This window comes from Homo sapiens, chromosome 4 (genome assembly GCF_000001405.40).
Source record: "Homo sapiens chromosome 4, GRCh38.p14 Primary Assembly".
Classification (NCBI taxonomy): Eukaryota; Metazoa; Chordata; class Mammalia; order Primates; family Hominidae; genus Homo; species Homo sapiens.
Window position 1 is genome coordinate 70510346 of NC_000004.12, and position 24826 is coordinate 70535171.

Genomic DNA, 24826 nt, shown 5'->3' on the forward strand with positions numbered 1-24826 from the left:
AAAGGACTTTCTATGCATTAGATAAAAACCACCCTCTCCAAGTTTTTCTCCTCAGTCACTTCTTCAACTTTTTTACTCCACCACTTTCCACACTTCAAAACAGTGGACTTCCTCGGGACTGATTCTTAGGCCTTCTCATTTTATATAAGAGACAGCAAATTGACAACCTACTAGTTCAATCCCCAATGTCTAGCACATTGTCTGGAAAATAGTAAATATTGAATAAATATTTATTTGAGTAATTAATTAGTTAGAGGTATAGAATGCAATTGGACTTTAGGATAAGGGGACAAACTGTGAAGCTAACCACTAAGGCAAGCCCCAAGACAAGCAATTTCTCCCCACCTTACATCTACAAGTTCTCAAACTTATTAACATAATCTACCTAGACTGGACAGCCAATTAAGAAGCCAACAATTGACGCTTAAGCACCTCCTTGACATCTGGTGATTTTTAAACAAAATTAGGGAGCTGTTTGGAGTATCTTAGTCCTTAAGCCAAGGGTCTACAATCAAGAAAATCATACAATTAAATTATAGAGACAAATGAGAGCTAGTTTAGCCCTCGCAGTAAAATGAGAGTCAAATGAAAACACTACCATCAGCTTATCTGCTTGATTCTCTCCTAAGATTCAGTGATGGGTTTTGATGCTTATCCATCATCTCTCTTATCTATTCAGTAATATTCAACAAACAAAGGCCAGGACAGACAAAGAGCACAGTCTGATTTGCCTGTTTGCAGAACAATGTCATCTCAACATAACCCTAATCAAATTCAGCTTCTTCCAAAATCAGCTGATCAGCAAAGAATAGCTTCATATTAAATTCATTCAGAAACAGTTATTCATCCAAGATATGGCTCTATACGAAGTCACTGGAGATGAGCTAATCAAAAAAGAACCGCCCCATCCAAAACTCATCCAAAAACAGCTATTATTCAAGATTTTACTCCACACAAAGTCATCTGAAATCACCTTAACAGGAAAAAGCTCCCTTGCCCAAAGCTCATCCATAATCAGCTGTTTGGGCAGGATAGGGCTATACAGTCATCCCTGCTTGTCTTCAGAAGATACATTCCAAGACCACCAGTGGATGCCTGAAACCACAGATACTATCAAACCCTATATGCACTATCTTTTTTTCTATATTATACAATTACATTATATAGGGGAAGTAGCGTATACAGAGTGGATATGCCAGACAAAGGGATGATTCACATCTCCTGCCGGGCAAAGCTGGACGGTGCAAGATTTCATCAGGCTACTCAGAGTAGCATTCAATTTAAAGCTTATGATTTGTCTGTTTCTGGATTTTTTTATTTAGTATTTTCAGACCATGGTTGACCATGGATGAGTGAACCATGGAAAGCAAAACCAAGGATAAGGAGGAACTGCTCCACACAAATTATTTTAAGACAAGGTGATCTGCAAATAATTCTTTTGTCCAAAAAGCTATTCAGCAACCAGCCCCTGCAAAGAAACTCACTGAAACAAGCCGATATACAAAGAGCTGCACCATCCAAAACACGTCCAGAAATAGCACAAACTCATATTTAACTTAGCAGAATGCTTCCCCTTCAAAAGCTGGTCCAAAAACAGCTGTTTAGTTACATTCTGGATCTACACAAAATCACTCAAGAATAACAAATAAGCAAAGAGCCAGCCCAATGCAGTGGCTCACGCCTATAATTCTAATGCTTTAGGAGGCTGATGAAGGAAGATCACTTGAGGCCAGGAGTTTTAGGTGACATAGTGAGACCTTCATCACCACAAAAAAAAATTTTTTAATTAGCCAGGCATGGTGGTGCATGTTTGTAGTCCCAGCTTCTTGGGAGGCTCAGGTGGGAGTAATGCTTTAGCTAAGGAGTTTGAGGCTGCAGTGAGCTATGATCATGCCACTGCACTCCAGCCTGGGAGACAAAAAAATTTTTAAAAGCCAAAAGCCAGCTTGTTACTGGTGGAAGTTATCCAGGTTACTGGCAGTGAATCCGTACAGGTCTGCCACAACTCAATTCTTGCCTCCTCAGAAGAAATAATTCGACTGAGAGGCATAAGACAGAAAAAGAGACCGATGAAAGTTTCACAGCAGGAGTGGAAGTTTATTTGAAAAGGTTTTATAACAGGAAAGAAAGGAAAGTTCACTTGAAAGAGACCCAAATGAACACCTGAAGGTCAAGTCCAGTGTTTTACCTTGATCCTAGGACTTTTTAGGCTGGACCCTTTCTCATGATTCTTTCCTTAGGGTGAGCTGCCTGCATGTACAGTGCCCTCCTTACCCTTGGGAGGTGAGCATGTACGGTGTGTTTAGGAAGTTGTACCCATGACCATCTGAGGTTTTCTTCCCTTTTCTGGTAGTGTGCCCCCAGAAGGTCATACTCTGCCATTTTGTCTGTTAATGTGCATGCCCAGGAAGTTGCTTCTCCCTGGCATCTACATTCAGTTAACACTTTAATGCAACAGGTGTGGACCATCAGGAAATGACCTCTCCCTGGCACTGGCTACCAATTTATAACCTTTAGAGATGCAATGTTATCATTGCCAAACCGTCACCCAACATTCCTTGTGGGTGGGGGAGAGCCCTTTTCTGCCCTACTTATGCCTAACTACCTGTAACAAGCCCATCTAAAATGATTCCAAAGCAGTTATTTCATCAGGGATTGACTTTTTGTATCACCATCTAAGTACAGCTGGAAAGCAAGGAAGTGTCCTGTCCAAAGCTCCTCTTAAAACAGCAGTTCAGTCAGGAGCCTGCTCTCCAGAACATCATATGAAACCTGTAGCCAATCAAAATCTCCTCTATCAAAATATTCCCCAAAATCTGCTATTCATTTTTTTAAAAATAAATCCCAATCTTACCCAAAGTCACCTTTAAAAAAAGTCTGCTCATATCAAATTTTATCCAAATCCACAAATCAACAAAAGACCTGGACAAATTCATCTAATAAAAGTGAAATTTTTCCTTTTATATCCCTCTATACAAACCCACATCTAGATTCAATATTTTTATTTTCAAGCTCTCACTCTCAAACCCAAACCAGTATAACTACCCCAGCTATCACTACTTCTAAAGCAACTTCTACCACCCATCTGCAACTTCAGTTTTAACTACAACTCCCATGCTATCATCTGCTACAATCATAAATCAAGCCACATTATCCTACAACATCCCAGAAGCTGTCATATACAACAGCAACTTTGAAACAAAGGGTCCTCCCTATGATGGCACCAAACTATACATTGACTCGGCATCCAACTTTGAAATCACAGAAACTTCTTATGACACCACAAAATACATACTGACCTTCCATTTGACTTTGAAACTACACATTTTCTCGATTGTGTCTACAAAACTGAAAGTAACTGCCCAATTGACAGTATCAACTCAAAGAACATAAATTCCCAGCACCTTCCTTACCCTTACCTAAAGCGTTATATTGTCGTCCAAACACTGAAATCATTAATTAATTCCTCACACTAGTACTGTATCTCTTACCTTCCCTTCAGCATCCTCATCTGTTGCCCATTTGCAGGGTGTTCTTTCCTATTTTAAATATCACACCCAAGCTTTTTTTTTTTAATTCCATAAGTGTGTAATTCTATTGTTAAGTTGAAATATTTCTACATAGGCCAGGTGCAGTGGCTCATGCCTGTAATCCCAACACTTTGGGAGGCTGAGGCGGGAGGATTGCTTAAACCCAGAAGTTCAAGACCAGCCTGGGCAACAACATGAAACCCGTCTCTACAGAAAATTAGCCAGATGTGGTGGTGCGCACCTGTAGTCCAGCTACTTGGGAGGCTGAGGTGGGAGAATCACCTGAGCTGGGGAAGTCCAGGCTGCAGTGAGCCAGGAGAGCCAGGATAGCGACACTGCACTCCACCCTGGAAGACAGAAGGAGACATTGTCTCAAAAAAAGAGAAAGAAAGAAAGATGTCTACACGGACAGAATACAAAGTTGCCACACTCTTGCAAGCTTAACCCTATTTCATGAGTAAATTCGGTATAATATAGCCACATTTGTAATGACATTGTACACTGAACTTTATCACTTATGACAAAGGTCAATTCAATCTGCCAAGAAGTCTGAACATAGTTTCCTGATACCCCCTCTGGCAAAACTTTAAAAGATTAGTAAAAACCTATATAGTTTGATCTATTTAGTAGAATTTCAGATATGTTTAATTCAGTGGCTGTTTTTCGGGCACCTACTAAACTACTCCATAGAGAAGTTGCTCTACTTCTGGCCTCCAAGCGTAAGTCCGGTTTCCTCTGGGGACTGGTTGACAATTTTAAATACTTTTGTAAATTTATAAAGGCAAACAAGTCAATTCAATTCAACCCATATTTATTGTTCTATCACATACAAGCTGAGAGCTAAAGAAAATATCAAAACATATAATCTTCCTTGAAATTTAATATCTCAAAACAGTAATCAAATAACAATGGCATCAGGTGAGGTAGAATAAAATAAATAACAAAGTCATGAATTCCAAAAGCATCTCAGAGAAAGAAAAGTCTAACTCCAAATGAGAGGAACAAAAAGAAAGGCTTCATGAAGGTGGTAGCATAAAGAAGGATCTTTAAGGGTGAGTAAAACATTGACAGTCAAGGATGAAAAAGAGGACTCCAGGCAGAGGAAATAACATGAACGAATGCAGAAAAAGAAGATCAAAATGCATCTTTTCTAGCCTCTTGTGCATACATCCATTTTGCCTCTACCACATTATATAGTGATATGAGACTTGCTGCATTTTCCACAAGAACATAAATAAGGGCTTCCTCTTACTCACTTTTGTACCCGAGCACCTTGTACAATACCTTGTCCAGTACAGTGGAGGCTTCTGTTTAGTAGGTATCAGGGATTGCCATGCATCAAGAAATGCTGAATGTCGTTTACAATTATCAAGGTACTTAATTTGTTCAATCAAGCTATTACTATAATTAATGATAATCTTGTGCGCAGAATCCTTTTAATGTTGTGAGTTACCAAGTGGTGTAAGGAAATATAGAAAATTTCCAGTCTGTTTTATCCTTTCATTGTCAAAAAGATGCTCTTAGACTGAGATTCATAAAGAGTGCCTCAGGTCTGGGTAATCCTAGATCTTCCTATATCCATTGAGTGTGATGGAGTTGGAGAGAGGGTATGTTTCTTGCCTTGAGAAATCCTAGAAAGCACAGGGATGACACAAATCACTAAGGAATTCCACTAAGACTCCTCTAACCCAGAGATTTTTAACCTGTTTCTTTATAGTTGGGCTCTCAGGAGATCCATGAAATCCCTGAAGTTATTTCATAATCATTACATTCATAAGCATATATGCATTTTTCTGAGGAGATGACATGTGCATTCAATCAGCTTCTCAAAAGGGTCCATAACCCAAAGAAACTTACAACTAAAGCTAATAAGAAAGATTAAGGAATGCCTGGAACTAAAGGGCTAAGAGATGTGTCCTATAGTTCATAAAACACTTTAATGAATTCTGATGTTCTATGTCATTTTGGAAACATAAATTATCTCACTGTTTTTGCTGATGTCTCCTTGTCTTGGAATGATTTAAGAATTCTTTTCCTTTTATAATATGTATTTCTTGACTCCCAACTCCGTAATCACATTATTGCAAGTTGTCTGCTTTCAGACTTAAAATTTCTTGCCTAAGAAATTACTCAGTGTTTTTAATTTTGCTTGTTTATTTTGATCTAATCCCACTGACTGCTCAGTTTCCTGGCTAGGGCATGTCCGATTCCCGCTGAGGGTTGGAGTCATGTCTGCAACAAGCAATTGACTCACTGTGAGGTCCCTAAATCACCTGATGCCCAGTCACGAGGAATTATTCAATTCAAATAAACTATTGAATAGAACCACATTCTAGACTAACACTATAACACAGGTCTCCTCACCTAAGCCAAGAACAACAGTGACATAAAATTCAACTCTACCTCCACCCAAAAAAAAAAAAAAAATATATATATATATATATATATACGTATATATATATATACGTATATATATACATATATATGTATATATATACATGTATATATATACGTATATATATATATACGTATATATATATATATATATATATATATATGACGCTCCCAACCCTCTACATTCACTGAAAATAATGCCCAAATAAAGTAGATGCCCAGTGTCACGGAGTCCCTCTCTTGCAATGACCTGGTTGAATATTTCATATTCCCCCAACAAAACCTAAGCTCTTTAAGGGCAGGGTTTTTGTCCCTTCCATTAATTGTTTTATCCCAGACACTGACACAATGTTGGTGAACAAAGAGTGAATCTATGTTAAATGAGAGCTGGAAAAATGAATTGATTGAATAAAAGAAACAATGAATTTGCCTGTGAAAGCCCATGAGAACCTAAAGTTGCTTTCCTTCCACATCCTTCAGCACTATGTCTCATTGCTCCTCTCACTATCAGCCACTTTAACATGCTAGTCTGTCTTGTGGATTATACTTATTCTCCAAATCCACCTAAAGCCCAATCTCTTCTCTAAAATCTTCCCTCAACTCAATCTTGCTCTGTTTCCCCACAGTATATGCCTTTACCATTTATTCGTCAACATTCGATGACCATATGATGCTTTAAAATATTACAAACATGAAAGACAAGAAATATAAGATGCGGCCCCAGGAACTCTCCATCTAGTTCAAGAGAAACAAAAAGTCAAGAAATAATAAAAAAGCCATATAAAGTAATATCTGACCAAGTGCCAAAATCAGTGATAGAAACAAACCAAAAAAAGCTATAGGTAGTTAAAATTAGATATCATCTCCAACCCTGTCTTCCACTGCTATCCTCACCCCATCTTGTTCCAGTGACAGAAAGCAATGTCACTACTTCAAATCTAGACCTTTGATCAGCCTGGGTGCTCTCCTTGCGTTCTTCATAAATTTTTTTTTTATTCTTCAAATCCAAACTCAAGGATGATCTCCTCTTTTAAGCTTTTCCTGTCCTTTTGCCCCCAACAAAATTCACCACACTCTTTCTTACACCTGAATACTCCTATATTTGCACATACTTGTTGATCTTGTATTTCTCCTCCTACATAATGTTCCCCATTCCTAACAGAGTATCAGAGTAACAAACATTGATTATATAGATTAATTGAACAGTTAGAGAGAAGCTTTGAAAAAAAAATGTATCATCTCAGTTAATTTTCCATTCATAGACACTCTATAGGTTTTTTTTGTTTTTCTTTTTTAAAGGTCAAATCCCAAATCCTGGTGCGACACAGGCTCATCATTGAAATGGTCTCAGAAATTGATTAACAGACCTCCACCTCCCTTTGGGGCATATCTCAAAAATTCCAGGTGAAGCCCACAGCTTCATGGTAAAATGTTAAGTAGCACTTAACTGTTCTTCTTGTAAAAGAAATCTCAGTTGATTCCCTGTGTTTTGCTTAGGTTATAGTATCATTTTCCCTGTTTAATATAAAGCAAGCCATTCACCATTTGGCCATAAATGTACATATCCTCTGATACATTACTTAAATGTACATACCCTCTGATACATTACTTAAATGTACATACCCTCTGATACATTACTTAAATGTACATATCCTCTGATACATTACTTAAATGTACATATCCTCTGATACATTACTTCTAAGAATAACACCTACGAAAATACTCCCATATGTGTGAAAAAAAGGTTTTATAAGAATGGTGCTTGTGATACCTTTGTAATTACAAAATAAACTGGAAATGGATTAAATGTTCATCAAAATGTGATATAATGATGTGTACCCATTAAATAAATAAAATAAACCTGTATGTACTAACACATAAAGTTGTCCATTATTTGTTAAGTAAACATAAGTTCCAGAGCAATCTACATAGTAGACTTCATTTTTTAAACCTTGTACAGAGCCCTATATTTTGATGTTTGATTTATGTATTCATACTTACATGATAAAACACGTACATCTGAGAAATCATTTGGGAAGAAGAAGGAGGTGAAGAAGCATTTAAATTATTTTATTGTCTGCATCTTTTTTTAATTACATAAGGCCTGTCTCCTTGAAACACCTTCTATTCAAATGGTAGACATTGGGTAACATAATGTCTGCAGCTAATAACCCACCTAATGAAGTGTTGGGAAATGAAAAAAAAACAAATGATTTAACAGACAGCTAAATCCTGATTGGTCTCTCAGTTTCCAATCTCCTGGAACTGAGTTTAAATTTCTTCTACAAACACATACATCATTGAAGGGTAAAATTTTTCACCAGAGTAAACTTGAGAAACCAACTGGACCTTGAGTATTGTACATTTTGCCTCGTGGACCCAAAGGTAACATTAATTGACCATGTTTCAAGTAGAACTTTTGTTTTTAAAGTATCATTTTCTCTTAAAAGGAAAAAAAATACATGGAAGAGTAACACTTTTTTGTTGTTGTAGGTAGCAATCTGAAACATGAGGAGTACGATTCTACTGTTTTGTCTTCTAGGATCAACTCGGTCATTACCAGTAAGTATGTTATGTTTGTTTTATATGCCAGCCAGTTTCAACAGCATCTCTAGCTGCAGACCTACCTCTCTCCTGCCCTCCATCAAAACTGCTCTGTTTTGTGACTCATTCCCTGAGAGTGTCCAGTGTTTATTTTCCAAGACAGAAAATGACAAGCTAATAAGCTGTTGGTACATATTTCAATGTACTTGCATTTTTTTAAATGCATCCACTCCATCGTGGTAAAAGGTCAATTATTTTGGCAGAGCAATAGGCTAGAAATTAGGAGAAAAATGAATGTGTTAAGTGGATGATTATTTTATTTTCCAAAAAGAAGTTTTTTCTTGGCAACTAGTTATTTGCTCATGAATAAAGAGGTGAACTATATTTTCTAATTTTTCTACTTGGAAATGCTAAATATCTAGATTGTATAAATTCTAAAAAGACCACCAAAACATATGATATCAAAGGCATATGATTAAAATGATCAAAATTTTTGACTTAGAACATTAAATCATAAATAGTATTCACATATAACAGGAAAAAATTAAAAAGCCCTATAACTCCAACATTTACTCCATTATTTTGTAGACATAGGGATGAATGGTTTGGATCTCTAGGTGGACTTCTCTTTGACTGTTCAAGATGGTTCAAGACCATTAAGAAAAAAATTACAATATACTTGCTATGAAATAACAGAATAAAAGAAAGCATACTTAGTTGGGCCTCAAGCTTACTCAATACTTCTGCATCCATTCGTACAATCAACAAATATTTATTAAAAACTTTCTATATGCCAGACATTGTGCTAGGTGCTGAAGAAACAATAGTGAGAAGGGAAAAAAAGGCATAATCCTTCATGGTGTTCACAAGGATTGTAGACATTAATTTTTTTTTTAACTTTTTTTTTATTTTTACCAATGTCACTTGCCAATTTTTTTATTTTTTACTCAAATGATTTTTAAAGAAATGTTAAATTATAAATAATAACTGTGATTATTTATGTGAAGGAAATGAACAGGGTGGGATTATGCGGGGGGAGGATGAAGCAAGATACGGTAGCCAACCTCCTTCTTACTTTATCCCAAATACATACTACATACGTGTGTGTGTGTGTGTGTGTCTGTGTGTGTGTGTCCTCCTTGAAAGAAGTTGTCTGTAAAAGTTTAATTTTCTAAACAAGGTAAAGTATGAAGTTAATTTTTTTATAAAACAAATGGTTCTTTCACTTCGTCAAATACATTGACCGAAAGATTCTTCAAAATAGTTTCTCTAGTATATTTAAATTACCACATAATTGGTGAAAACTCAAAACAAGCAAAACTTTCCAGGAGTGCAGCTCTCATGTGAGGTGGGCTGAGGTGGAGCAGGCCGGCTGTGCAGGCCACAGCAGATTGCTAATAGACAATGAGAGCAGCTAGAGAGCTAGTGGGGCAGGGCAGCAGGGAGGCGACACTGAAATGTCTATTCAGTATGGAAACAATACCAAATGAAACATCACGACACATAGACAAGGTATTTTTTATTATTTGTAAATGAATGTATTGAGTTAGCATAAAGGTAAAAAGAGTGAATCCATTTGCAAATGTGGACACATACAACAGCCTAGCAATTATTTTCAGTAGATCAAAATTTTGAGGATAGGTACCAGATGGAAAACACAATGAGTAGAAGAAATAAATACAAGACAAATCAAATTTACAGAAAGTGAAGGCTCTAGAAGAAAACAAGATTTTATTCCTTCAACAACTATTTATTGAGTTCTTACTATATGCCAGACATGGATTTATCTTTTTGAGATGGATCATTGAATAAACCACAGTGAAGTCTATATTTTAGCAAGGAAATAAATGATAAATGGTGAGCAGTCTAAATCAGTAGGTCACATGACAGGTTAGGAGATAGTGAGCACTATGAAAAAAAGATCCCAGAGCAGGGTGAGATGGAGCAGGCTGGTGGTGCACAGTGGAGAAGGGGCAGGCTGCATGTTCAGGACAGCAGTCAGGTTTGGCCTCAATAAGAGGGAAATTCAAGTAAAGAAACAGGTGAGAGAGTAAAGCCAATGTTCAGGGAAAGAACATTCCAGACAGAGGGAACAGGTGGAGGTGAAATTCTGAAGCAGGAATGGACTTTACCTGTTGCAGAAACAGCAAAATGGCTGGATGGCCAGAGCAGAGTGAGGGAGGGGAAATGAGGTAGGAAAGATCAGAGAGCTACTGGGGGCCCAGAGCCCTGTAGACCACTGTGGGGTCTCTGGCTTTTACTCTGAGTGAAATTGACAGTCGTTGGCCAGGCACGGTGGCTAACGCCCGTAATCCCAACACTTTGGGGGCCAAGGCAGGCGGATCACTTGAGATCAGGAGTTCAAGACCAGCCTGACCAATATGGTGAAACACCGTCCCTACTAAAAATACAAAAAATTAGCTGGACGTGGTGGTGTGCACCGGTAATCCCAGCTACTCAGGAGGCTGAGGCAGGAAAATCATTTGAACCTGGGAGGTGGAGGTTGCAGTGAGCCAAGATCACTCCATTGCACTCCAATCTGGACAGCAGAACAAGACTCCACTTAAAAAAAAAAAAAAAAGAAGAAGAAAAGAAAGAAAAGAAAAAAAATTGGTAGTCATTGCAGAGACTGAGAAAAGAAGCAACAAGATTAGACCATCATTTTCACAGGGTCACTCTGGCTACTATACTAACAATAGATTGTGGGAGATGAAAAGACTTACTTACAAAATTTATATATATTATATATATGTATTTTATGTATATATATGTATATATAATCTTAAAGCTGAAAGGGACCTCCTAGAACAGATAATACCAACCTCTCTTTTTTTTTTTTTTTTTTTTTTTTTTTTTTTTTTTTGTGAGACAGAGTCTCACTCTGCAACCTCTGGCTCCCGGGTTCAAGTGATTCTCCTTCCTCAACCTCCCGAGTAGCTGGGACTATAAGCGTGCACCACCATGCTCAGCTAATTTTTATATTTTTAGTAAAGACAGAGTTTCATCATGTTAGCCAGGCTGGTCCTGAACTCCTGACCTCAAGTGGTCCGCCCGCCTTGGCCTCCCAAAGTGCTGGGATTACACGGTGGCATGAGCCACCGTGCCCAGCCCCAACCTCTCCTCATAACTAAGGGGGAAATTCCAGCGTGAAACCAAAACTGCTCCAGGGTAACCTTAGATGACTCAAGGGCTGGTGCAGAGCCAGAGGGCCACACCCCTGTGCCTTCCAGGATGCCTCCAGGAGCAAAAGCAGATTTGGTCAACCTGGCAAAAGAGAAGTTTTTTTTTCGGAGACTAAGAGCACTTAGAGGGATCTAGCACTGGCTCTGCTGCTCACCATGTCACCTTGGGCAAGTTACTGTAAGCATCAGTTGCCTCATCTATTAGAAAAAAATAATACAACTAGACCAAATGTGTAGGAGGAATATTTTCATATCTAAAAATTCAGTGATTTTTAATACACTAATAAAATATCCAGGCCAGGAAGAAAAACTGAACTTCTGTTACAAGACCGATGTGGCAGGCATGGCAATAGTGGGAAGCTTCATGAAAAGGTAGTAAGAATGACGGCAGCTTACCTCAAGCCCTGAGAAAAAGCAAATGTGCACAGAGCTAAGGTACAGATTATATATTCATGTCCTGGCAAAAGAGAAAGAAAGGTACAGAAAAGAAATGGGAGCCAGGAACCACCACAAGACATCCCATCTGCTTGGGTTCATCCCAGCCCCCTTCCCTCCACACCATCCCACCCCTCCTGGGCTGGCATTTTTCCACTCTACATGTCCTACCATGCACATAATGTTTCAGGGAATCAAACTCCTCTAAAATACACAAAGCCTAAAAGATAGACATGTTTGCATTGGTGGCAACCTGGATATAAATGGACACAAAATCTTAAACACATTCCTGCCTCATCAAATATGTATTTGTTTTCACAAAAGCAGCTCAAACCTGCTTTGGGACTCCCTCCCACAAAACTGGCTCCGGATCAGGGAACACTACCAAACCAACAGCAGTCAAATCAGGTAAGAGTCCTACAATATGGAACATGTACAAACCGGTAAAGAAAATACGGAACATGTACAAACCGGTAAAGAAAACACGTTAAGACTGGTAGGTTTAAAATCAAAATTTACATGAAGACTGTACAAGACTGAACAAGAGAGAGGCTTTTCGTTTGGGAGTGGGGAAAAGAACCGATATAATTTTCTGAAAAATTTGAATAGGAAAAGTAAAGTACTCTAATTCTTTTTCCTTTTATCTGAATAATAATTTGGTTTAGCAGTGAAATCTAGTCAACTTTGAAAAGGAATACCTACGTCTGTTTACAAAGCTTGGTCATCTATGGACTTGAGGTACTGTGGCATTATCATATGCAGTATTTGCCAGCAATAGCAGGGAATCAGAGATGATCTATAAAAAATAACTGCAGATTTCCTCCTGGCTTTGTAAAGTTTCATTGTTGCTGATGTGTTGATGTGTTGCTGTTCAATCTGTTTCTTCAAAGCGTATTTAAATACTTTTGAAAACTGCATTATCTTTTGGCTACTGCCCTCCCTCCCACTTCAACTCTTCCTCTGCTGTGAAGGGCCATGGCTTACCTACTTCTACATTTTGTGAAGTAATATAATCAGATAACACTAGAGTCTAAAGTCTTCTCCTCAGTCAACAGAACACTCAAGTCAAGACCCATTCTCCCCGCTTAAGGAATCTGAATCTTATACAATTTGGGAACCTTCTTTAAGAAAAAGAATACAAAATTCGATATGTAAAATTAAGTACTGAAATAAATATTTATAATGTGATAAGAAATAACAGTAAATCACAAATTTTCTTAAGCTGATAAGTACCGTAAGCTTGAGACATTGCTAGGGCACCTCCCAGGGCCACAAAGGGAGCAATGCTAGTGAGAGGCCCCGAGGCTTCATCTTTATTTACCTTCATGGTAAACCCACCTCTGACAGGACTGTCAATTACATGAGGATATCCACCACTGACAGAGTAAGGGAAGCAGACAACCTCTTGTCTCATACATCACTTTCAATCCCCTGCAGGTCTTTCCTTCTTTAAGTCTGATACCATTAACACAGATGCTCACACTGGGGCCAGATCTGCATCTGGTAAGTGATTGTTTATATTATTTTAATACCCATTGTGAAATAAATATAATGCCTAATATTACAGTGGGGGGAGCATGTATATGGGTGCGTATATCCACAAATGAAAACACACATATACTTATTCACATAGATAAGTTGAAAGAGAGGAGAGAAGAGTCCAAGAGAGTTGGACATCATTAAACGTTTTTCTTAGCAAGAGAGTCTCTAAACAAATTAATCTAATTCTTTCCTTCTCCAGTTTCTCTAACCTCTTCTCCTCCTCTCTCCATTCCTCCACCATACCTTCTTTAATGCCCCTACAGCATCCACACATCCACATAAACACTATCACTGCTATTATCACCCACAATGACAGGAGCAAACTGGAAGAGACAAAGATCTTCAGTGTCTTCTTATAGAATATCTGTATAGATCTTCAGCCCTCTCATAGAATATCTGTGTAATCTGTTTGAGAAGAACAATAAGTTTCTTTCCTGAGTTAAAGTGGATTTTTTTAGTGGTCAAATTTAAATATAGCTCATGTTCCAGACAAAATATGTAGTCTGAACCTCATAATTTTCACGCATAACCTAGAGGAGTTAATTTCTTAATTGTAAAAAAGCTATCAGAAAATTTTCAGGAAGAATTGCTCTTGTAGCCAAAAGGGGAAAGCAAAGATAAAAATAAATCACTTAAGTAATTCTCAAACAGAATAGGTTAAATGCCAAAGAAAAACTTAACAGGGGAAAAGTTAGCAATAGCCCTTGTAGTCGTACAAGCAGACTAAATAAGTCTTTAAATTTCATCTTTGTGTCTAAGTATACATGCAATAGAACACTATGTATTTACATAGCAACTCCTTCCTTTAAATATATTTTACGTTTAGTAAAAACATTTTAGTTTCCTAAATGTCCAAACTGAAAAAAAATACAATGAAAGTCTTCTTCCTTGCCCTACAGTTAAATCCTGCTGCAGGAATGACACCTGGTACCCAGACCCACCCATTGACCCTGGGAGGGTTGAATGTACAACAGCAACTGCACCCACATGTAAGTTGAACAGCTGGACCTTAGTTTTAACATTAGAGAGCATTTTCTCTCAGGTGAAAGCCTACAGTAGAAATTTTTTAAAGCTTCTTGAAAATTTTGCCCAGATTATTAACTGACGAATGTTCTGCTGAACATAGACCAGTATTTGACAATCTGGTTCTTAATGAAAATTCATAAACATACCCAGAGAACTGACCATGCTACCTCACAACTTCTCTAGAATATATGTTTAATGGACAGGAAACCTTGAAAAGTTGGGGAAGATTGAAAAGTGAAAAATACATGGGGGGAAGTTGAGAGATCCCAGGATTTTTCTCTAGCATATTGTTTTCTCTTGAAGACTTTCTTGGTGACCAAGATCATCTCAAAGAAAAATTAAGAGGTGGATAAAGTTTATCTTCAGCAAATCTAATTGTCCCATTTTTGCGCCTTTTCATTCCCCCTTGAAAGTCCCCAAGGACTTTTCAGTATTTACCACCTCCCACTATCACTTGCTTTCAAAAAAACGAAACCTGAAAATCCTCTTACACTAAGATATAAACGACATACTTTAGGCATCACCTGTTTTTGAAGTGTTTGCATTTTAACATTGAACAAATTCCAAATTTTTACCTTATCGAAACTTTTCTAAATAGTGTAATAGGCTCCAGAGGGGCTGGGTGCAGTGGCCCACGCTGTAATCCCAGCACTTTGGAAGGCCAAGGCAGGAGGATCACTTGAGCCCAGGCATTTGAGACCAGCCTGGGCAACATAGTGAGACTTATCTCTACAAAAAATAAAATAAAATAAATAGCCAGGCGTGGTGGGGCTCACCTATAGTCCCAAGTACTCGGGAGGCTGAGGTGGGAGGATCACTTGAGCAAGGGAGGTCAAGGCTGCAGTGAGCAGCGATTGTGTCACTGCACTCCATCCTGGGTGATGAAGGGGGATTCTGTCTCAAAAAAAAAGAGAAGGAAAAGAAAGTCTCTGGAGGAAAATACAATAATCCTTTTACAGCAAGACTAAGTTGTTTGTAGATAACTTATTCTCCCCAACATGTGACCTCGGCCCCCATTATCCAACATAATGGTCTAATTTTTTGTAGAAGCATTTATTATTGTGTAAGTAATATATGTTAATTATAAAGAATTTAGGAAATGTAAATTTTCTAAAATTTACATATAAGCAAAAAATAAAATAAAATTCACTTGGAATCTCATTAGCCATAATCAAACACTGTCAACATTCTAGAGTATGTCCTTCCAGTCTTTTTTCTATACACATAAGTACATTTTTAAATAAAATGTTTTTGCTATAATGTTTTGTAACATGCTTTTTTCCACAAATATATTTTGAATAGTTTTCATGTTTTAAAATATTCACTCACAATGTTGTTTTTAATGACTGCTTAGTAGTCCATGGTATACTAAATTACTTATTATGAAAATTTGGGGGTTTTTCCAAAGTCTTTGCTTCTATAAACAATGCTACAGTGAGCATCCTTGTGACTAAGTCTATGATATTCCAATGACTATTTCCTTTGGACCAACTCTTAGGAACACAATTTCTGGAGCCAAAGACACACAAAGTATCTTGATAATAAAATTTTTGATAATAAAAGTGAACCTCTGTAAAAGATTTAAGATGCAAATAAAAAGAGACTCTCCATAACAGGTGATCATACTATAATCTACATACTGATTGCCCAGCTTCAGTCTCCATTGTTGCCCTCCTCTAACCTTGAAGGTAGACTTACTGCATCTTCATGTTCCCCAGAGAGTACCCTCCTAAGTCAAGGCATTAGTGGAGCCTGGAGATGTTACAAAAGTTTCAGTACAGAGAGTTTCACGTTGTACACTCTCTGTGCAATATTATAAATCAGTCCCCATTTGCTGTGGGAATTCTTCAATGTCTCTAGAATGTGCTACCACCAAGGGTTCCCATACCTGACCTTCCCCTGGGCAGCTCTAGTCCCTCCAACCCTGCCTTTCCCTGTGCAGAGTGGCTTATTATCTCTGCCACAACCTGGACACCTACTGGTGGCTCGCATTTATCAAAGAAAAATGAACCATGCTTGTGAACTCTAGAACCACACAATTTCTGGTTAAATGTCAGCTCTACACTTATTACTTATATGATGTTGGCCAAGTTACTTAACCACTCTGTGGCTCATTTTGCTCAAAATTTAAAATGGGCATTAAAGTAGAACCTTCCTCTACAGCTGTTGCAAAGATCAAATGAGTAAATATATGGAAAACACTTAAAACAATGCCTACCACATAGTAAACATGCGATGTGTTATTACGATTTCAAATAATTTCTCTACCGACAACTAAGAAAAAAGTCCTCTTTATTGTTATATTGGTGAACAATTAGAGTACCTTTCATTACAGTTTTTACTTAGACATCTATGGTTTCCTCTTTTTATCTTTTTGTTCTTTCCACTCCAACTTTCCATTAAAAAAGAAATTTCCATTTCATTTTCTCTTAAATCAAAAATATACCAACCACTTTCCCATTGCCACGTGAAGGCTAGTTGGGTTTTTTGTTCTTGTTTTGTTGTCCTTTTTTGTCAGTAGAGAAGGACCTGATTGTGAGTAAGGCTTTTTAATAAATGTACGTAATTTTTCCTTGTTGGCATTCCATAGTTCCATAATTCCTGCACCAACTGTCTTGGGAAACAATAGTTAACAGTCTATTTCATAAGACTTTCAAATCTTCTGGTTTGGTAATTATGAAATTAAGAGTCCCATTTTGATTACTTTCCTGACACTTTGAATTTTCTATAGAAATAAGAATAAATTTTTAAAACCTTAGCTTTCTTTGACAAACTTCTGGCCGGTTCTCAAAGTAGCAGAGTATGGGAGAATGCCAACACCTCACTCGAATCTTTTTCATCTTTTTGTGAACTAAATTTATAATATTTAGTTTGTTATCAGTGACCCTTGAATTATTTCTCGCCTAGTACTAAGAGCTATACCAATGCCAGGGGTTACTGAGCAATATTCCCTATAATTGCTTTATTTTAACAGCAAGATGTCCAGACAACTATTGCAAGACTAAGTATATATACCTCAAGAAATCTTCACATTTGAAAATACCCATCGCGTGTTTTAATGTGTCTTCTGAGATGCCATTTGAAAGAAATCTGTACATTTTAACATTATTGTTACTTGAAATAATTTTCAGTTTGGAGACTTCTTGAGAACAATTTTTTTTTGTTGTTTATCCAGTTTACTAACTTCTATCTTCTAAATGTGCTATCTTGAACTGGTTTCTAAATCTCTTGGGACTAATATTCTTTTTACAAATTGGAAAAGTTCCAAACTCCCATCCAGATCTATGAATTTATATCTATGATTATAGATAATACATTAGTAATAAATATCTGTTTAACAGATACTATATCCTTTTAAGAAGATATCAATGGCCGGGCGAGGTGGCTCATGCCTGTAATCCAAGAGCTTTGGAAGGCTGAGGCAGGCAGATCACAATGTCAGGAGTTTGAGACCAGCCTGACCAACATGGTGAAACCCCGTCTCTACTAAAAATATAAAAAATTAACTGGGCATAGTAGCAGGCAACTGTAATCCCAGCTACTCAGGAGGCTGAGGCAGGAGAATCACTTGAACCCAGGAGGCAGAGGTTGCAGTGAGCCAAGACCATGCCACTGCACTCCAGCCTGGGCAACAGAGCAAGACTCCATCTCCAAAAAAAGATATCAGTATTTATACCATCTTCCAGAGCTTACTTTTGAAAGAGTTTTTCTCTCATTTTTTCAGGTGTTACCAATTTTTGTCACACAACTTGGAGCCCAGGTAAAAATTATGCTTAATATTGTCTTGATTTTAAATCACCTTGCTGTGAAAGGTGATTTTCTTTCCTCAATTCACTAGATAGTTGTGAGGTTTCCAATGTACTTTGTACTGTATGGACACTGATAATCACAAGAGCTTGCTTTCTGCATAAGTTTTCTTCAATGAACATCCACTTAATGATAGAAAAATATATACTTTTTGGATGGAGATTAACTCATTACTCAAAAAATGAATGTCAGCAGTCTCACATCATATGCTGACTTGAGTTTTGTAATATAGATCATAAGGCAGTTTAACATATTATTGGAAAGGCAAAATCTGTATAATCTTTGAAAGTATTTTAAGTTTTAAGTGATATTATACATATATTACTACAAATACATTAAAATGTGTCTAACAAATTGTGTTTGTCATTTTGCTTTTAGGGCACTATCCTAAGCTCAGAGGAATTGGTAAAAAAAATAAAAATACTATTTCAAATTATTTTCACTTCTATCACAATGTTTTCTGTCCTCATATAGTCTCTTTTGACCATAAATCCTAAATATGGTATGTACTACAATGAACTGAACATTTTTATAGTTCCTTACATTAGATTATCCTTTCTTTGTTTGGGGATTTCATTATACTTCTCCAGCTACTTTTCTATTAATTTGACTTAGCTTTTGTTTCCGTTTATTGCTATCAGATTCAGTTCTATCCAGAAAGGCAGTGCACATTTTTTAACTTCATAAGGATTTCAGTCTAGGATTATAAACTATTGAAATGTATGCAAATGTAGAATAACATAAATATTGACTTTTTACAGGAAAGATTAAATTCCTTGACTTGGATATTTAATTTTTATGGAAAAATATATCTTTTTCCAGCGTCAGATAGTGATAAATGAACTCTTTCCTACACACATAAATAATTGGAGGGCTGTACCTAAATATAGTTCATATCACCATTGCTAAACACTTCTATGCATTCCTCCATAGGTCCTTTTCTAGAGAAAAGGACTTGAATTAACATGATATCTAAACATGACAACAGTACAGAATTGAGGCAATATTTGGGAACACAGTTATTCAACAGCTTTTCTATTATGGAAAATGTAGATATTTTCTATATTGTCCATAAATAATCATCAAGGAATGGGGCTAGTGTCTGTTTTGCCAACATTGATGCATGAACATCCATATCCAGCTACTGAAGGTTCTTCTATATAACCAGCACTTTAGCAGATCCTTTACATATGTTGCTTTCAACCTTCCCCAAAGCACAAAGCAGATATTTTTGACCCAGCTTTACAGATAAAGAAACTGAGGTTAAAAGTTTAAGTAATTTAGGCCTCAAAGGCAACAATGAGAAGAAAAGAGTGGATCCAGATCCAATGCCATTTTTTAACCTACTACACTAGTGGTTTTTCAAACATTTTTAACACAACTCACAATAGCAACTACATTTTTCATGCAGCTTAGCACACACACACACACACACACACACATTCACGAAACAGCATTCACCTTTACTATATAGAATGCACTACTAGTCTACTGCCTGTTTTATTGTTTAATGATGACTGACACTCACCTTTTTTACTTCAAAACTGTGGATATCACAACCCTCAGTTTGAAAACGTCTGTACTCTGCTCCTATCTGTCATCCAGCGTAAGTCTAATTCTGGTTTCAATATCTCTTAAATGTAACACAGTGTTTCCCAAACTTCATTCCTTGCCCAGCAAATCAGGATGGCATCAAAAGCTGGTTAAAAAGGCAGATTGCTAGGTCCTGCTCCAGACCTGCTCGATCAGAATCTCTCTAAAAATGAAAAACTCCAATAGACAGGAATTCTTTATGTATCTTCAAGGAACATACAATAGCTGAATTGCCAGGATAAATGTTTCTAACTAAGTATTCCAATGCCTTTGAAAAATACATCAAAAAAACTTGAAGGGATGAAAGCCATCAGGATTAATCTACTTGAATCAATTTTTCCATTAATTTTTATGCTCTTATTTTTTGAAAAAATGTTATGAGCAAAAGAAAGATTACATGTTAGGTTTAATAATATGTAATTTATTTCTGAGGGAAATGGAGCATAGCAAAGAGTCCCAGTATTGAATCAGACTAGGCTGGACCAAGGGTGTATTTCCCCTGAGGAATGCCAGGTCTTTGCTGTCTTCTCTGACTTTACTCTCTCCATCTTTCCATTCCTACCCAAACTTGCTCCCCTTAAAAGAGAAAAGAAAATGTGTTGCTTTTAACTTTGTTTTCTGTTTGCTTCCCTCATTCCAGCCACAAATCTTCACGAGCCTCATCATCCATTCCTTGTTCCCGGGAGGCATCCTGCCCACCAGTCAGGCAGGGGCTAATCCAGATGTCCAGGATGGAAGCCTTCCAGCAGGAGGAGCAGGTGTAAATCCTGCCACCCAGGGAACCCCAGCAGGCCGCCTCCCAACTCCCAGTGGCACAGATGACGACTTTGCAGTGACCACCCCTGCAGGCATCCAAAGGAGCACACATGCCATCGAGGAAGCCACCACAGAATCAGCAAATGGTAAATTCTCCTAGCTTGGAACATGCTTCTTGGCTATAAAAGTCATCTGCAGAATGGAAAAGAGGAGTTCTTTGTCTTGCCTTGACAAATGCAGATCTTAGTAAGATTAGGAAGCCCCTTTACTCACTCACAGTTAACTCCAGCAACATGAGGGAATATTTTTACTCAGCCACCAACCCCCAGGTATTAACACTGAAGGAAGAATTTGTGTGAGTGTTTTTGGTTGTTTTGAGACAGGGTCTTGCTCTGTTGCCCGGGCTGGAGTGCAGTGGCATGATCTCGGCTCACTGCAACCTCCGTCTCCTAGGTTCAAGCGATTCTCATGCCTCAGCCTCCCAGTAGCTAGGATTACAGGCGCACATCACCACAGCTGGCTAATTTTTGTATTTTTAATAGAGACAGAGTTCAACCATGTTGACCAGGCTGGTCTGAAACTCCTGACCTCAAGTGATGCACCCACCTCGGCCTCCCAAAGTGCTGGGATTACAGGAGTGCGCCACCGCACCTGACCATACAAGCTAATTTTTGTATTATTTGTAAAAACGGGGTTTTGCCATGTTGCCCAGGCTGGTCTAGAACTCCTGGCCTCAAGCAATCTGCCTGCCTCGGCCTCCCAAAGAGCTGGGATTGCAGGCATGAGCCGCCATGACTGGCCTGAAAGATTTTTAATTGTTGGCATAACACATGTTCCATTTTGGGTCAGAACTGAAAATACTTGAAAGCAGAATGTGTTCCTTGCCCCAATACACACACACGCACATAGAAGCCTATAGGAGACACACTTCAGTTCATCATGACCCTGTCTCCACTCACTGATGGAGCCTCAGAACCTTCCTACTGTAATACTGCAAGCAGCCACTAGTGATTACCTACTGTAATAGCAGGCACTAGTAATAGCTAGCAGAGCAGATAAACCCATCTGCCGTTCTTAGATGGAACCTAAGAAATGTGACAAAAATAAGCTTTTCTTGCACCCACAAGCAAAGTTAATTGCTTAACATGTGAAAATGTCTAGAACCAAATATCCTTAGAGATAACTAAAGAATGATATGGATGCTCCTAATCCTGCAAAAGAAACTTGGATCTCAAGTAAAAGATATTTATGTTAAATATACTTTTTACCTACATTTAAAAGGTGTTTTATTTTCTTCCAGGAATTCAGTAAGCTGTTTCAAATTTTTTCAACTAAGCTGCCTCGAATTTGGTGATACATGTGAATCTTTATCATTGATTATATTATGGAATAGATTGAGACACATTGGATAGTCTTAGAAGAAATTAATTCTTAATTTACCTGAAAATATTCTTGAAATTTCAGAAAATATGTTCTATGTAGAGAATCCCAACTTTTAAAAACAATAATTCAATGGATAAATCTGTCTTTGAAATATAACATTATGCTGCCTGGATGATATGCATATTAAAACATATTTGGAAAACTGACTCTTTTTCTTCTTTGGAGATGGAAGAAAGTTGGCCCTTACAGAAACTACATTTCCTCAGGGCACTAACATGATACTCCAGGTCTAGAACTTTCTTTGGAAGTAGGAAGCACAGCAGTCAAGAAAGGGACATCCAGCAATGTGAAGACAAATTCTGGTCTCTTCACAGTTACCTCATCATTTGCTTTCTTATAAGAGTCACAAACTTAATTTTTAATAAGCAGAGTACTTTTGAACATCTAAAACATACAGTACAAAGAATTACAAATCATAATTCTGCCTATCCTCAAGTGTTTATATTCAGAACTCATGATAATGGCATTTAATGTTTAATTTTGGTATGCTTGAGTGTGAAAAATGGCATTGAAAAAAGTAATCATAATCACTAAAACAAACCAAGGTGATACTCTTGCTCCATTCACCTAAAAGGTAGAAACTAATCTGATTTAAACTTATAACAGACCATTGCAGTTCATCTATAGTGAGGGGGATTAATATAAACTGCAGTAGAGCCCCCCAAAAAGAAAGGTATGGATAGGGTTAATAACATTTCTCACTATATACGGCTCAACTCCATCAGTACGCAACAAATGGAAATATGCACCATGAAATATATTCCATGTTTAGTGTATCAGGTGGTTACAGATTTGCTAGTGGTTAATGATTTATTAGCCACCTTGTTTCAGATATGCAGAAGCTGAATAACTTACTTATAAACTGTCAATATTCATGACCAAATGAGAGTAAATTAGTATTCAAACTTCCAAAAATATTTTGCCACTTGTGATAATAATTAAAAGTGCTAATAAAGGACTTCCTGGATAACCATCTATCAAAAAAATATTCTTTCAGTTAGGAGACTGAAGCAGGAAGATCTCTTGAGGCTAGGAGTTTAAAACTAGCTTGGACACAATAGGAAGACCATATGTCTAAAAAAAGTTTGAGAAGTTATCTGGTATGTACCTGTAGTCCCAGCTCCTTGAGAGCCTGAGGCAAGAGGATCATTTGAGCCCATGCGTTCAAGGCGGCAAAGAGCTATGATCGCACCACTGCACTCCAGTCTGGGCAACAGAGCAAGACTCTGTCTTTAAAATAACTAATTGATTAATTTTTTAATTTTTTTGAGCCTCATTTTTTTAATCTGTAAAATGGAGGCAAAAATCCCTGTCATGTTCAGGCACAGTGGCTCACCGCTGTAATCCTAACACTTTGGGATGCCAAGGCGGGTGAATCACTCGAGCCCAGGAGTTTGAGACCAGCCTGGGAAGCATGGTGAAACCCTATCTCTACAAAAATAAATAAATACAAAAATTAACTGGGCATGGTGGCATGCAACTAGAGTCCCAACTATTCAAGAGGCTGAGGTGGGTGGATCATTTGAGCCCAGGAGGTTAAGGCTTCAATGAGCTGAGATTATGCCACTGCACTCCATCATGGATGACAGAGTGACACCCTCTCTCAAAAAAAAAAAAAATCCCTGTCATAGATGTCCCACAAAGTTAATATGATCATCAAAGCAAATACACAAGGTGCTTTACAAATTCCACTATAGAAATCCATTTTGTTTACTTTCAATGTTCTTCAAACCAATCGAGGCTATCAATTATTCCAGCACCATATCTTCCTCCCTAAACTCCTGCATACATATTGCCATGACAGCATTAATACACAAGGTGTGAGATTACCATCTAGACCATCAAAGCCAGGGTGTCTTCCAACTGGGATATGCTACTCCTGGGGGAACCTGAAGACTTTCTAAGGGCTACAGGGTCTTAAGGGTTTAATTTCCATCCTCAACTCTCACCTATGTACTCTCTTGAGACATATCTGCCTGAGAACATGTTCCTTTTCCTCCTCCCCTTTCATACTCACTCTTTTCCCACCTTCAAAAGACAGATCTATGAGGGAACTTCAAAAAGTTAATGGGAAAATGAAATTAAAAGTAGATTATTGGCTGGATGCAGTGGCTCACGCCTGTAATCCCAGCACTTTGGGAGGCCAAGGGCAGGAGTTCCAAACCAGCCTGGCCAATATGGTGAAAGCCCATCTCTACTAAAAACACACAAATTAGCCAGACATGTCACACCTGTAATCTCCAGCACTTTGGGAGGCCAAGGCCAGGAGTTCAAAACCAGCCTGGCCAACATGGCGAAACCCCATCTCTACTAAAAACACAAAAATTAGCCAGACATGGTGGTGCACTCCTGTAACCCCAGCTACTCTGGAGGCTGAGGCATGAGAATCACTTGAACCCGGGAGGCAGAGGTTGCAGTGAACTGAGATGGCACCACTGCACTCCAGAGTGAGATTCTGTTTCCAAAATAAATAAATAAATAAATAAATAAATAAATAAATAAATAAATAGATTATAGAATAACATTTATAGAGTAAAAAGAAATATATCATTAAAAATATAAGCTTCATTGCTC

General features: G+C 37.7%; 1 protein-coding gene across 2 annotated transcripts; it reads left to right on the forward strand.

Annotated features, from left to right (window-relative positions):
* Positions 1-8223: 8223 nt before the first annotated feature.
* Positions 8224-22398, forward strand: AMTN (amelotin). Of its 2 annotated transcripts, none has more exons than NM_212557.4 (9): positions 8224-8309; positions 8418-8486; positions 12410-12493; positions 13523-13588; positions 14527-14616; positions 18378-18413; positions 18839-18865; positions 20694-20955; positions 22110-22398. In NM_212557.4, the coding sequence occupies exons 2-9, from the start codon at positions 8433-8435 to the stop codon at positions 22118-22120; spliced, it is 630 nt and encodes a 209-aa protein (NP_997722.1). In that variant the 5' UTR covers positions 8224-8309; positions 8418-8432; the 3' UTR covers positions 22121-22398. The 2 variants fall into 2 exon arrangements, with proteins under 2 accessions (NP_997722.1, NP_001273660.1); NM_001286731.2 differs by having other exon boundaries at positions 12413-12493.
* The last annotated feature ends 2428 nt before the right edge of the window (positions 22399-24826 follow it).

What these genes read in the sequence shown, in the direction of transcription:
- AMTN (NM_212557.4), top strand. Translation starts at nt 8,433, where the DNA reads ATGAGGAGTACGATTCTACTGTTTTGTCTTCTAGGATCAACTCGGTCA. An exon ending in TGGGGCCAGATCTGCATCTG is followed by an intron (nt 13,589 to 14,526) that starts GTAAGTGATTGT and finishes CTTGCCCTACAG; the next exon opens with TTAAATCCTGCTGCAGGAAT. An exon ending in TCCTAAGCTCAGAGGAATTG is followed by an intron (nt 18,866 to 20,693) that starts GTAAAAAAAATA and finishes CCCTCATTCCAG; the next exon opens with CCACAAATCTTCACGAGCCT.